Raw genomic sequence first — 15582 nt, 5'->3', positions numbered from 1 at the left:
TTTGCAGCAGCTGGTACTCGTTGTTCCTTTCCATGTTTAGCGCTTCCTTCAGGAGCTCTTTTAGGGCAGGCCTGGTGGTGACAAAATCTCTCAGCATTTGCTTGTCTGTAAAGTATTTTATTTCTCCTTCACTTATGAAGCTTAGTTTGGCTGGATATGAAATTCTGGGTTGAAAATTCTTTAAGAACGTTGAATATTGGCCCCCACTGTCTTCTGGCTTTTAGGGTTTCTGCCGAGAAATCTGCTGTTAGTCTGATGGGCTTCCCTTTGAGGGTAACCCGACCTTTCTTTCTGGCTGCCTTTAACATTTTTTCCTTCATTTCAACTTTAATGAATCTGACAATTATGTGTCTTGGAGTTGCTCTTCTCGAGGAGTATCTTTATGGTGTTCTCTGTATTTCCTGAATCTGAACGTTGGCCTGCCTTGCTAGAATGGGGAAGTTCTCCTGGATAATATCCTGCAGAGTGTTTTCCAACTTGGTTCCATTCTCCCCATCACTTTCAGGTACACCAGTCAGACGTAGATTTGGTCTTTTCACATAGTCCCATATTTCTTGGAGGCTTTGCTCGTTTCCTTTTTTTTCTTTTTTCTCTAAACTTCCCTTCTAGCTTCATTTCATTCATTTCATCTTCCATTGCTGATACCCTTTCTTCCAGTTCATCACATCAGCTCCTGAGGCTTCTGCATTCTTCACGTAATTCTCGAGCCTTGGTTTTCAGCTCCAACAGCTCCTTTAATCACTTCTCTGTATTGGTTATTCTAGTTATACATTCTTCTAAATTTTTTTCAAAGTTTTCAACTTCTTTGCCTTTGGTTTTAATGTCCTCCCGTAGCTCAGAGTAATTTGATCATCTGAAGCCTTCTTCTCTCAGCTCGTCAAAATCATTCTCTGTCCAGCTTTGTTCCATTGCTGGTGAGGAACTGCGTTCCTTTGGAGGAGGAGAGGCACTCTGCTTTTTAGAGTTTCCAGTTTTTCTATTCTGTTTTTTCCCCATCTTTGTGGTTTTATTTACTTTTGGTCTTTGATGATGGTGATGTACAGATGGGTTTTTGGTGTGGATGTCCTTTCTGTTTGTTAGTTTTCCTTCTAACAGACACGACCCTCAGCTGCAGGTCTGTTGGAGTACCCGGCTGTGTGAGGTGTCATTCTGCCCCTGCTGGGGGGTGCCTCCCAGTTAGGCTGCTTGGGGGTCAGATGTCAGAGACCCACTTGAGGAGGCAGTCTGCCCGTTCTCAGATCTCCAGCTGCGTGCTGGGAGAACCACTGCTCTCTTCAAAGCTGTCAGACAGGGATATTTAAGTCTGCAGAGGTTACTGCTGTCTTTTTGTTTGTCTGTGCTCTGCCCCCAGAGGTGGAGCCTACAGAGGCAGGCAGGCCTCCTTGAGCTGTGGTAGGCTCCACCCAGTTCGAGCTTCCCTGCTGCTTTGTTTACCTAAGCAAGACTGGGCAATGGTGGGCGCCCCTCCCCCAGCCTCGCTGTGGCCTTGCAGTTTGATCGCAGACTGCTGTGCTAGCAATCAGCGAGACTCCGTGGGCCTAGGAGCCTCCAAGCCAGGTGCGGGATATAATCTCGTGGTGCGCTGTTTTTTAATCCCGTCGGAAAAGCGCAGTATTAGCGCAGTATTTGGGTAGGAGTGACCCGATTTTCCAGGTGCCGTCAATCACCCCTTTCTTTGACTAGGAAAGGGAACTCCCTGACCCCTTGCGCTTCCGGAGTGAGGCAATGGCTCGCCCTGCTTCGGCTCGTGCACGGTGCGCGCACCCACTGACCTGCGCCCACTGTCTGGCACTCCCTAGTGAGATGAACCCGGTACCTCAGATGGAAATGCAGAAATCACCAGTCTTCTGCGTCGCTCACGCTGGGAGCTGTAGACCGGAGCTGTTCCTTTTTGGCCATCTTGGCTCCTCGGAGTGCTGCTTCTTTGTCCAACTTACCACTCTGTGTCTATAAGTGGGGCATTTAGGCCATTTACATTTAAGATTAATATTGAAATGTGAGAATTTCATGTTGTCATTGTGTTGTTAGCTGGTTATTATGTAGACATTATCATATACTTGCGTTATAGTGTCCGTGTGCTATGTACTTACTTACCTGTGAGTTTTTATCGTGACAAGTATTGGTCGTTTGCTTTTATGGTCGAACACTCCCTTTATGATATCTTGTAAGGCAGATCTGGTGGTAACAAATTCCCTTAGCAGTTGCTTACCTGAAAAGTATTTTATTTCTCTTTCTTTTATGAAGCTTAGTTTGGTTGGATGTGAAATTCTTGCTTGTATTTTTTTAAGGATGCTAAATATAAGCCACCAATCTCTTGTGGCTTGAATGGTTTCTGCTGAAAAGTCTGCTTTTGGTCTGATGGGGTTCCCTTTGTATGTGACCCCACCCTCCTGCCTTTAAGATTTTTTTCTTTCACATTGACTTTGAGGAATCTGATGACCATATTGCTTTCTACAGTGGTTGAACTAATTTACACTACCACCAACAGTGTATAAGTGTTCCCTTTTCTCAACAAGCTTGCCAGCGTCTGCTATTTTTGACATTTTATTAATAGCAATTCTGACTGATGTGAGATGGTATCTCATTCTGGTTTTGATTTACATCTTTCTAATGATAAGTGAAATTGAGCTTTTCTTCATATGCTTGTTGGCTGCATGTTTGCCATCTTTTGAAAAGTGTCTATTCAAGTTCTTTGCCAACTTTTTAATGAGGTTGTTGGTGTTTGTATTGTAATTTGTTTAAGTTCCTTATAAATGCTTGCTATTAGACCTTTGTCAGATGGATAGATTTCAAATATTTTCTCCCATTCTGTAGGTTGTCTGTTCACTCTGATGGTTTCTTTTGCTGTGCAAGTGCTCTTAAGTTTAATTAGATCCCACTCGTCAGTTTTCGTTTTTGTTGCATTTGCTTTTGGTGTCTTCATTATGAAATCTTTGCCCATTCCTATGTCCAAAATGGTTACGCCTATGTTGCCTTCAGGAATTTTACAGTTTTAAGTTTAACATTTAAGTCTTTAATCCATCCTGAGTTGATTTTTGTATATAGTGTAAGGAAGGGGTCCAGCTTCAGTCTTCCGCATATGGCTAGCCAGTTATCCCAGCACCACTGATTAAATAGAAAGTATTTTCCCTATTGCTTGTTTTTGTCAGCTTTGTCAAGATCAGGTAGTCATAGGTCTGTGGCCTTATCTCTGGGCTCTATATTCTGTTCCATTGGTCTATGTGCCTGTTTTTGTACCAGTACCATGATGTTTTGGTTACTGTAGCCCTGTAATATTGTTTGAAATAGGGTAACGTGATGCCTCCAACTTTGTTCTTTTTGCTTAGGATTGCCTTGGCTATTTGGGCTCTTTTTTTGGTTCCATATGAATTTTAAAATAGTTTCTTTCTAGTTCTGTGAAGAATGCTGTTGGTAGTTTGATAGGAATAGCACTGAATCTGTAAATGGCTTTGGGCAGCATGGTCATTTTAATTATATTGAGTTTTCCTATCCATGAGCATGGGATATTTGTCATTTGTGTCTTCTCTGATTTCTTTGAGCAGTGTTTTATAATTCTCATTGTAGAGATCTTTTGAATCCCAATTAGCTGTATTCCTAGGTATTTTAAACATTTTTTGTGTCAATTATCTACTTAATTCTAGTAAACTCCATGTACTGTAGTGAAATTCATAATCCTTTTAGTCATATGCCTACCTTTCTAGACTTAATTGTGTGTATCTTGAACCTCTCAGGTTTCCAGAAGTTAGCTAAAGCATTAGCTGATTCTCTCTGGGCATCACTGAACACCACCTTTATACACAGAGAATGTAACTAGATTAATGCAACATCCCTGATTTGATCAATTCTATGGAGATCGTGTTTTAATCCACGTTGAGAAGTTTCCTTTCCAGACCAACCAATACTACATTTCTGGACTCTCTCTATCCTTTTAATTTCTGCTTGAGAAATGGCTACTATTTTTCTGATGTAGCTTTTTTCATCACCTTTTTTCACTACACCTTTTTTCAAATGTAGCTAATAGTACTTAACCTATGCTACTAATATTGTGTTTTATAACCTCTTCACCTAAAGTCACAGACTCATTAGAGACACCATGTTCCTTTTACGTTATTTAAGGTAAGCATTTTATCATGTTTTGACACTTCATAATCTCAATGATGATCATTCTATCCTCCAATAATACTATAACAGGTATTAAGAGCCAGTGTATATAAAAATAGTCAGTCAATACAGAGTAAAGAACAGTGATATATTTATATTAAAATTGACCATCCACAGAATAAAGTAATTTGTAGTTATTTAGTAAGTTTTTACTAAAGGATAAAACAGTTTTATGTCTGAGAATAAAATAGGTGAACCATATGTGATAAGCACGATAAATTCTTATTTGGCATTTACAGTATGACAGGCACTTTTAAAATTACTTACAGGTTGAGCATCCTTAATCCAAAAATCTGAAATGCTCCAAAATCTGAAATGCTCCAAAATCTGAAATTTTTTGAGTGCCAATGTAATGCCACAAGTGGAAAATTCCACACCCTATCTCATTTGACAGGTTTCAGTCAAAATGCAGTGACACAACACACATTTTATTCAGTATCCTCAAAAGGAAAAAAAAAAAAAAAAGACCTTTCAGCCCTCTCAGTTGCAATGTAACTTTTCTACACATGCCCAGAATTTTCCATATAAGCATCCCATCCAAAAAGGGCTATTATATGGTACGTGTCCAAGATGGACATATCAAAGGCAGATTTTCAACAATGCCCTACATGAAGCCAAGATCTACGAGCTTTACTCACTGTGATTTTTTTTTTTTTTTTTTTTTTTTTTTGCTTATTACCTGCTTTATGGTGTAAAAATATTGCTGAAAATGTCAAAAAGGTCTGCAGACACCACATGGGGAACAGTCATTAGGAAAAGGGGAAGGATTATGTCTATTTACAGCTAAAAAGTCAAGCTGTTGGAGAACCTGAACAGTGGTATGAGTCTTAAAAGAAGAGTAGGGTAGTAGAATGATCACCAAACATGACCTGAAGAAACAGAAGAATAAACTCTTGAAGGTGTATGCTGAAAATAATGAACATAAGTTTATAAAACATTTTATAAACTTAAAGTTAAAAATGAAGATCCCTATTGTGTATTGCTAGAATTGACCTGTTAACATCACAGTGAACACATGCCACTCAATGGTACGCTAATCATAAAACAAAGAAAGATCTGTTGCTATGAACTGAAAATTAATGGAAATTGTGAAAATTCAATGGGCTGGTTGCAGAAACTTCTGAAAAGACACAACATTAAATTTTTAAATATTTGTGGTATAAATCATCTGCTGATCATGAAGCAGTGGGGAAATTAATTGACAAGTTTGCCAAGGTTATCGCTGATGAAAATCTGATGCCAGAACAAATCTGTAATGCTGATTACACATCTCTGTTCTGGCATTATTGTCCCAGAAAGACATTAACTACAGCTAATTAGACAGCCCCTACAGTAATTAAGAATGCCAAAGACAGGATAACTGTGCCGGGATGTGCTAATTTAGTAGGCATGCATAAATGTAAATTTGCTCTGATAGGCAAAAGCTTGTATTCTCCCTATTTTCAAGGGGTGAACTTTTATCAGTCCATTATTATGGTAACAAAGAGGCATAGACCACCAGCAACATCTTTTCTGATTGGTTTCACAAATATTTTGTACCATTGTCTCATGCTCATTGCAGGGAAGCTGGACTAGGTGACAACTGTAAGACTTTGTTATTCCTTGAAAACAGTCTGCTCATTCTCCAGCTAAAATTCTCATTTAAAAAAGGTTTATTTCATGTACTTTCCCCAAAAGGTGATTTTATTAATTCATCCATGTAACCAGGGTATCCTTACAGCAACAAACAGAAATATAAAAACAATTTTTGAACAGCATGCTAGCAGCAGTGAACAGATGATGGATAGGGAAGGTTTTCAAAAGGAGTTTATCATGAAATTTAGCATATTTTTGCCAAATATGCTGTTGCCAACACTTAGAACACAATGACTGGAGACACAGTTGTGCGTGCCTGGCACAACCTCCAGCCTGTGTCTATGTTCAGTGATGATGATGAGCAAGGTGGTGACTTTGAAGGATTTTGTATATCAAGTGAAAAGAAATGATATCTGACCTCCTTACATATCTAAAACATATACCTTCAAAATCCATCAATAAGCTGAAAGAAATAGATATCAAAGAATATTTTAACATCATTAATGAGGCTCCAGTTATTCATTCATTGACCAATGGTAATATAGCTGAAATGATTCTGAATCAAGCTGATTATGATAATAGTGATGATGAAGATGATGTTAATACTGCAGAAAAAGTGCCTATAAATGACACAGTGAAAACGTGTGGTTGAACAGCATGCATTTGTAACAACAAGAAATTATGTCAGTTTATACAATCAAAGAGAGACCACTGAGTGAAAGCCATTGTTAATGAGGCAGATGAGTCTGCAGGAAACATTTTAAAAATTCATGCAACAAAATGCCTTCTTATTCCTAAAGGACTCACTTCTTCTATGCTTCGGATGTTTCTTCTCATCAAAAAAAAAAAAAAAAAGTAAAATGTAGCATATAGCATATAGTTAACCTTGAGTCAAAACACAGCATTGTAAGTGGAGACTGAAAGACTACCATTGCTTGTTATTGCTGTTGTTTAACAGCTGATACAGGTATTCTGGTGATGCTGCTGTGCTGCTTCATTGCCCTGAAAATACTGTTTTCCACTATATTAATGGTATGTCATATTTTTACCACCAATTATAAAAAATTGATTGAGGCCGGGCGCGGTGGCCCACGCCTGTAATCCCAGCACTTTGGGAGGCCGAGGCGGGTGGATCACGAGGTCAGGAGATCAAGACCATCCTGACTAAGATGGTGAAACCCCGTCTCTACTAAAAATACAAAAAAAAAAAAAAAAATTAGCTGGGCGTGGTGGCGGGCGCCTGTAGTCCCAGCTACTCGGGAGGCAGAGGCAGGAGAATGGCATAGCCAAGATCGTGCCACTGCACTCCAGCCTGGGCAACAGAGCAAGACCCTGTCTCAAAAAAAAAAAATTGATTGCTTATTGGTAGCATGTCAATTCAGAGTCAGGAATGACGGTGATGCCAGACAGCCACAGATTATCCACATGTGTTGATGGGGTAGTGACACCTTTGCTTCCTAATGGTTCAGTGTACCCATACTTTGTTTCATCCACAAAATTATTATAAATATTGTATAATATCAGCTTCAGACTATGCATACAAGGTGTATATAAGACATAATGAGTTTCCTGAGTATACTTGGATACCATCCTCAAGATATCTTATTTTGTATATATGCAAGTATTTCAAAATCTGAAAAAAAAAGTCCAAAATTCAAAACACTTCTGGTCCTAAGCATGTTGAATAAGGGATACTCAATCTGTAATATGCACTAACTAATTTAACCATCACAATGACCCTGAAAGTACATCCAATTTGTACCTCATTCGCAATATGAAGAAACTGAGACAGAGTTTAAGAATTTGCCCAAAGTTATCCATTTAACAAGTGTCAAAGCTAGTATTTAAACATACACAAAAAAAAACTGACTCCATAGTTAGCGTTCTAAACAAGTGCATTTCAATCGTTAATATACATGATTCAGCTGGGGATCTGTTAAAATGGAGATCCATATTCAGGAAACTGATGAGGGTTGGGTTTTTATTTCTAACAACCTCTTTGGCAGATTGCTCATGTGAACTCCCACTGTTGAAATGGTACAGCTACCAAATACTATGGCTCTAGATATTTTTCTGATCCCTTAGTCATCAAAAGTTTTCAGATGGATTTATTGATGGATTTTTCCACATTAACACTTTCTGACATAATTCAGTGAGATAATAGAATCCAATTAAGGAAACTGATTACATGAATTATGTAGTATTACTAGGACATTGATGACTCTCCAGCATCTAACTTGTTGTATAACTTGTATGTGTGATAGCCTTCTTATTCTGCAAATTAGAACACATCTCTCACCTGCTATCAACCTCTGAAAATAATGATGCTTGACATCAGGGTGGAGAATAGATGTTGCCTATCTGCCTTGGCAGCAGTGGTCAGAAACTGAGATGCAATGTGTAAGCTTTCCTTCACCAGACTCTTATCTATTCTTTCTTTCCTCATTTTAATCCCATCCCACATCCCCTTTTACACATTCTATTGTCACATTTTTTTTCTTCCTGACAGATGCTGCTATGTTTGGACATCACTTAAACTTCTGTCATGTTATTGCTTTTGGATTTGTAACAAACATGATAAAAGGCCCAGCGAGATGAATAACATACAAGGGTTTGATGGCTATTCACTGTGAAAGTGGACATATGATAATTAATTGTATGCATCATCTTTACTGGGCCAAAGGGATGCCCAGAAACTTGGTAAAACAGTATTTCTGGATATGTCTGTGAAGATATTTTCAGAAGAGATAAGCATTTAAATTGGTGGACTGAGGAAAGAAGATTGCCCTCCCAAGTGTGAGTGGACATCATCCAACCCCTTCAGAGCTCAAATAGAACAAAAACACAGAGGAGGGTCGAATTCCCTCTCTGTATGACTGCCTGAACTGAGATATCAGTCTGCTCTTGCCCTTTGACTGGTACTTATACCAGTGATTCTCCAGGTTGTCAGGCCTTTGGACTTAGACTAGAATTTACACTACCAGCTTTCCTGGATCTCCAACTTCAGATGGAAGATTGTGAGGCTTCTCGGCCTTCATAATCACATGAGTCAATTTCTTATATAGTTGACCCTTGAACATGGCTTGGAACTGTCCACATCCACTTATACACATATTATTTTCGAACCAAAAGAAGATTGGAAATACGGTATTCAAGGGATGCAAAAACTGTGTATTCAAAGGGACAATTTTTTTTAATATATATGAGTTCCGCAGGATCACTGTGGGACTTGAGTATGTGCAGATTTTTGTATACTCAGGAAGTCCTGGAATCAATCTCCCATGTGTATACTGAGAGATGATGATAATACATACCACTCTAAATATATATCCATCATTTCTGTTTCTCTGGAGAACCCTGACTAATATAGAATGCCTGCATATGGATACAGGTTCTATTCACACCTCACCTAACCCTCATTTTAATAGCTGTGGACATTTTTGAGCTGTGGACGTTTTTGGTATAACTTTAAGGAATTGAAACTGTTACTGACTGGAAGAATCTTTAGAGATTTTATGAGGGACACATGCATTCAAATTATTCACTCAGATTTATAAGCAATAATATTAGAATTTTTCCACTCCTGCAGAAACCCTTCCCTTTTCTACACCATGGCAATGAGAATAATGAAAGGGTCAATAATAGGATAGCTTGATGCTGACTTGTCCAAGAGACTTGGTTTTTCTATGTGATTTTCCAAAGTTTTTACCACCATCAGCAAATTAGTCTTTATGCTTTAAGGAAGCAAATTTCCTTAAATTTATTTATCATTAGTATTGTTTCCCTTGAGGGAGTTTGGGAGAGAGTGTTTTAAATAACAGTGCATTCTGAAGCAATCAATTACTTAATTAAATCCAAAGGAAAATCACAAGGTAATTTTCTATGGAAATCTATGTCCATCCAGTGTCGTTCCAAAGAGAGGAAGATTCTAAATTTAAAAGTGCTTATTTATTATAAGTATCTGTCTTTTGTATGCTGCTTAGTATTAGTCCTCAATAGATAGATGTGAGCCAGTCCAAAATTAGAAAAGCTGGGACAAAATTAAGATCTAGCAGCAAGATACCTTGTAATTAGAACTGAGCAGATTATGAAAAAACTTTAGCCTAGGACATAAATAAAGATATAAAACTTCAGATAGGCTGAAGTAGGAGAAGAAAGGTTATAGAAGCATAAAAAAGTTTAGACCACAAATATACATTGAATTGTGTACCAGGAATTAACTGGCACAGCAGCAAGTGTGGGGTTAGATTCAATTCAGGGAGTCAGAAATTAGACTAGATCATATGAAGTTATAGACAGATGAGAGAGAGAGAGAGAAACAAAATTCTGCTAGGTCCAAGCAGAATTCTTTTGGACTTCTGTAGCTGTTAAATATTCATCTTGTTTCACTTTAGACACCATTGTTACTCTCCCTATCTCCTCTCATTGTTGTAATAATACATATACAAGTATATACTGATATAAAATATGCACAGACCTTACTTAGAGACACGAAGTAGTTCTTGATACTAACCTGTGCCCTTTCTGTATTTCCTTTCTAATAGAATTCAAGCTCTCTGAAGGTAACGATTTTGTCCGATTACCTCACTACTGAATCCTCAGTGCCTAGTGTAATCAATGTCTTGCATAAAGCTGAGTGAATTAATTTATACAAAAGCAATTCTATTTTCTTTCTTTACAATGTCATGTCATTACTCAAAGCAGTCCTCAAGAAACCACCATCTAATAAACTGCCAAAACCTTGGAGTAGCTGAGTTGATAGTACAAAATACACCTGCCATTTATTCCCCATCATACTTTGATCATGGCTGTTGATCTCGGTTATCCTCAGAAGCTTCACCTCCCTGGTCATCATCATTACCTAGATTTATAAAACTCCACTTCCTTTGCCATTCCATACATCTGCCACATGCTATGAAACTTGAGTTATATTTTCCAGTAAAATAAAAATATCCTTGTCTTCATTAACTTTTCCTTAAAAACACCACTTTCTTTGCAGGCCTTTCAAATTCAAGCTCTTTTATTCTATCAGGCACTGTATTTCTCAAAGGCCAAAAAGTGGCATTAGTGACATTCTTGCTACCAGTTTCCACTTCAAGAATATCACTGTCATCTCCTGACAAATTTCCTTAAAGGCTTGCTGGTCTCGTGAAGGGCCTGACCAGGCACCTTGGTTCTGGGAACTCACTTGAGGTTTTTGTAAGTATTTTTTCACTGAGAACAGATCTCCTGGTTTGGGATCAATTTTCAGACTTACTTCCTATTGGGACATTCCTTAAATGTTTAATCAAAAGCCTTGTTTCAAGTTGACATCAGTTCTCATCCTACACTGTTTTTTCTTGAACTCTTGTGCTTTTGTGACCTTTTCCCCAGCAACAGAGCCTGAGTTCTGACAATTAATTAATGTGGCTGCTAGTCTTCCTTAATTTTCAATTGCTTTTTCCATAGTAACAACCCAATCATTGCCATGGTCAGCATGTATAGAGATTGTTTCACCTAAAAGGAGTCTCCTAGTTTGGATCAAGGAGTTGACAACAGCATATTCTAAAATAAAATTCGAACTTCCTAGCAAAGCTAATTAAACTGCTGAAATGTGTTAGAGTTTATTTACTATAACAATGTTTATGAATTCAAGATGGTCTAGAAATGGATATCATTGACTAAAAGAGAGATGATTCGATTTAAGTATTTTCAAGTAATTATATTATAAAAAACAATATATTCATTATTCTAATCTTATCATACCTTATTTTATTCTGTATTTGTTGATCAGATTCTAGTGGAGTTCAGAGTCATTGAAATGAAGGCCAATTTTTGTTGTAAAATATTATGTCTTGTAAATTTAGAAAGTGTTCAGATGGGGCTAAATAAAATTTGATGGTTCAAGCAACCCAGGAATGTATGTGCTGTTTATTTATTTATTATTTTTGTGAGTATATAGTTGGTGTATACATTTATGGTGTACATGAGATGTTTTGGTATAGGCATGCAATGGAGAAAGGTGTAATCATCCCCTCCAGCATTTATCCTTTGAGTTACAACAAACAATCCAATTACACTCTTTAAATTATTTTAAAATGTACAATTAAGCTATTATTGACAATAATCACCCAATTGTGTTATCAAATAGCATGCTTTATATATTATTTCTATTTTTTTTTTTTTTTTTTTTTTTTTTACCTATTAGCTATTCCCACCTCCCCTGTGAGCCCTCCAACTACCCTTCCCAGCCTCTGGAAGCTATCGTTTTACTCTCTGTGTCCATGAGTTTAATTGTTTTGATTTTTAGGTCTCACAAATAAGTGATAACATGTGATATTTGTTTTTCTGTGCTTGACTTATTTCACTTAATATGAGTATCTCTAGTTCCATCCATGTTGTTGCAAATGACTGGATCTTACTCATTTTTGTGGCTGAATAGTACTTAATTGTGTATATCTACCATAGTTTCTTTAATCATTCGTCTATTCATGAACACTTAGGTTGCTTCTAAATCTTAGCTATTGTAAACAATGCCATAACAAACATAAGAGTACAGATAACTCTTCAGTATACTGATTTCCTTTCTTTGGGGTATATGCCCAGAAATGGGATTGCTGGATCACTGAGCATAAGAATTGGTACCTCAATTCTTCGTTTTTTGAGGACCCTCCAAACTGTTTTCCAAAGTGGTTATGCTAATTTACATTCCTACCAACAGTGTAGAAGGGCTCCCTTTTCTCCGCATCCTCACCATCATTTCTAATTGCCTGTTTTTTGGATAAAAGCCATTTTAACTGGAGTGATATGATGTTTCATTATAGTTTTGGTTTACATTTTTCTAATGATCAATGACATTGAGTACCTTTTCATATGCCTGTTTGCCATTAGTATGTCTTCTTTTGAGAAATGTCTATTCAGATTTTTTGCCCATTTTTCTGATTGGATTGTTTTTCTTATAGAGTTGTTCGAGCTTCTTATGTATTCCAGTTATTAATCCCTTGTCAGATGAGTACTTTGTAAATATTTCCTCCCATTTTGTGGGTTGTCTCTTCACTTTGTTGATTGTATCTTTTGCTCTGCAGATGCATTTTAAGTTGATGGGATTCTTCTCATTTGTCCATTTTTGCTTTGATTTGCCTATGCTTGTGGGGTCTTGCTCAAGAAATTTTTGCCCAGACCAATGTCCTGGAGATGTTCCCCAAAGTTTTTTTGTAGTAATTTTATAGTTTGAGGTCTTAGGTTTAGTTCTTTAATCCATTTTGATTTGATTTTTGTATATGGTAAGAAATAGGGCTCAAGTTTAATTCTACTGCATATGGATATCCAGTTTTCCCAGAAATCATTTATGAAGAGACCATCTTTTCCCCAGTATATGTTCTTGGCACCATTGTCAAAAATGAGTTCACTGTAGGTGTGTGAATTTGTTTCTGGGTTCTCTATTCCTTTCTATTGGTCTACGTGCCTGTTTTTGACAGTGTCATGGTATTTTGATTACTATAACTCCATTATATAATACAAAGTCAGGTAATGTAATTCCTCCAATTTTATTCTTTTTGCTTAGGAAATGTTTGGCTATTCTGAGTCTTTTGTGGTTTCATATAAATTTTAGTATTTTTTCCTATTTCTGTGAAGATTGCCATTGGTACTTTGACAAGGATTGCATTGGATAGTATGGACATTTTAACAATATTGATTCTTCCAATTCATAAATATAAAATACCTTTCCATTTTTTGTGTTCTCTTCAATTTCTTTCATCAGAGTTTTATAATTTCCATTATAGACGTCTTTCACTTCTTTTATTAAGTTAATTCCTAAGCATTTAATTTTATGTGTGGCTATTGTAAATAGCATTACTTTTTTATTTCTTTTTCACATGGTACGCTATTGGCATATAGAAATGCTACTAATTTTTGTATGTTGATTTTGTATCTTGTAACTTTACTGAATTTATTGGTTCTAATAGTTTTCTTGTGCATTCTAGGTTTTTCCAAATATGAGATCACATCATCTGCAAACAAGGATAATTGTACTTCTTTTTCAATTTGGATGCTTTTTATATCTTATATCCTTCTCTTGTCTGATTGCTCTAGCTAGGATTTCCAGTGCTATGTTAAATAACAGTGGTGACAGTGGGTATTCTTGTTGTGCTCCTGATCTTAGAGGAAAGCTTTTCAGTTTGTCCCCATTCAGTATGATACTAGCTGTGGGTCTGTTGTATATGACTTTTATTATGTTGAGGTATATTCCTTCTATCACCAGGATTTTTGAGGGTTTTTATCATGAAGAAATGTAGAATTTCATTGAATGCTTTTTTAGCATCAATTTAAATGATCATACAGTTTCTAACCTTCATTCTATTGATAAGATGGATCACATTGATTGATTTATGTTGAAACATCCTTGCATCTCAGGCATAAATCCTACTTGGTCATAATAAATACTTTTTCTAATATAATGTTGAATTTGTTTGCCTCATATCTCGTTGAGGCTTTCTGCATCAATATTCATCAGAGATACTGGCTTGTTTAACTGTCCTTGTATCCCAGACACAAATACCATTTGGTCATAAAGGATGTAATGCTGAATTTGTTTTGCTCATATCTTGTTGAGGATTTTTGCATCAGTATTCATCAGAGATATTGGTCTGTAGTTTTCTTTTTTTTTAATGTATCTTTGTCTGGTTTTGGTATCAAGGTAATACTGGCCTCATAGAATAAGTTTTGAAGTATTCCCTCGTGGTCTATTTTCCAGAATAGTTTGAGTAGGACTGGTGTTAGTTTTTTGAATGTTTAGTAGAATTCAGCAGTGAAGCCATTGGGTTCTAGGCTTTTCTTTACTAGGAGAGTTTTTATTACAGCTTTGATCTCATTATTTGTTATTGGTCTGTTCAGGTCTTGGATTTCTTTCTTGTCCAATCTTGGTAGTTTGTATGAGTCTAGGAATTTATTCATTTATTCTAGATTATCCAACTTATTGGCATATAGTTGCCCATAGTAGTCATTAATGATCCTTTGAATTTCTGCAGTGACAGTTGCAATGTCTTTTTTTTTTTCATTTCTGATTTTATGTATTTGTATGTCCTCTCTTTTTTTCTTTTTTTTAAATTATACTTTAAGTTCTAGGGTACATGTGCACAACATGCAGGTTTGTTACATAGGTATACATGTGCCATGTTGGTTTGCTGCACCCATCAACTTGTCATTTACATTAGGTATTTCTCCTAATGCTGTCCCTCCTCCAGCCCCCTACCCCCTCACAGGCCCCAGTATGTGATGTTCCCCTCCCTCTGTCCATGTATTCTCATTGTTCAACTCCCACCTATGAGTGAGAACATGTGGTGTTTGGTTTTCTGTCCGTGTGATAGTTTGCTTAGAATGCTGGTTTCCAGCTTCATCCATGTCCCTGCTGTCCTCTCTTGTTTTCTTATGGCTAAAGTTTTGTCAATTTTATTTAACTTTACCAGAAACCAACTTTTTCTTTTGTTGAGCTTTTTTTAAAAATTTTATTTATTTCTGCTTTGATCTTTATTATTTATCTTCTCTACTAATTTGGGGTTTGGTTTTTGTTGCTTTTGTCGTTCTTTAAGATGCCTCATTAGATTGTTCATTTGAAGGTTTTCCTCTTTTTTGATGTGGGCACTTACAGTTATAAACTTCCCTCTTAGTACTGCTTTTGCTGTATTCCATAGGTTTTGGTATATTGTGTTTTCATTATCATTTGTTTCGAGAAATTTTTCAATTTTTCTCTTAGTTTTTTCATTGACTCACTCATCATTCAGGAACATATTGTTTAATTTCCATGTATTTGTATAGTTTCCAAAATTTCTCTTGTTATTAATTTCTAGTTTCATACTATTGTGGTGA

General features: G+C 36.6%; 1 long non-coding RNA gene across 1 annotated transcript in view; it reads right to left on the bottom strand.

Moving 5' to 3' along the window:
* The window catches only part of LOC105377862 (uncharacterized), a 322839-nt gene that overhangs the window by 136913 nt on the left and 170344 nt on the right, over nucleotides 1-15582 (bottom strand). The window lies entirely within an intron of this gene.

The sequence above is a fragment of the Homo sapiens genome, chromosome 6 (assembly GCF_000001405.40).
Source record: "Homo sapiens chromosome 6, GRCh38.p14 Primary Assembly".
Taxonomy (NCBI): domain Eukaryota; kingdom Metazoa; phylum Chordata; class Mammalia; order Primates; family Hominidae; genus Homo; species Homo sapiens.
The sequence above is the reverse complement of the archived record's forward strand: the minus strand, read 5'-3'. Positions and strand labels throughout refer to the sequence as shown.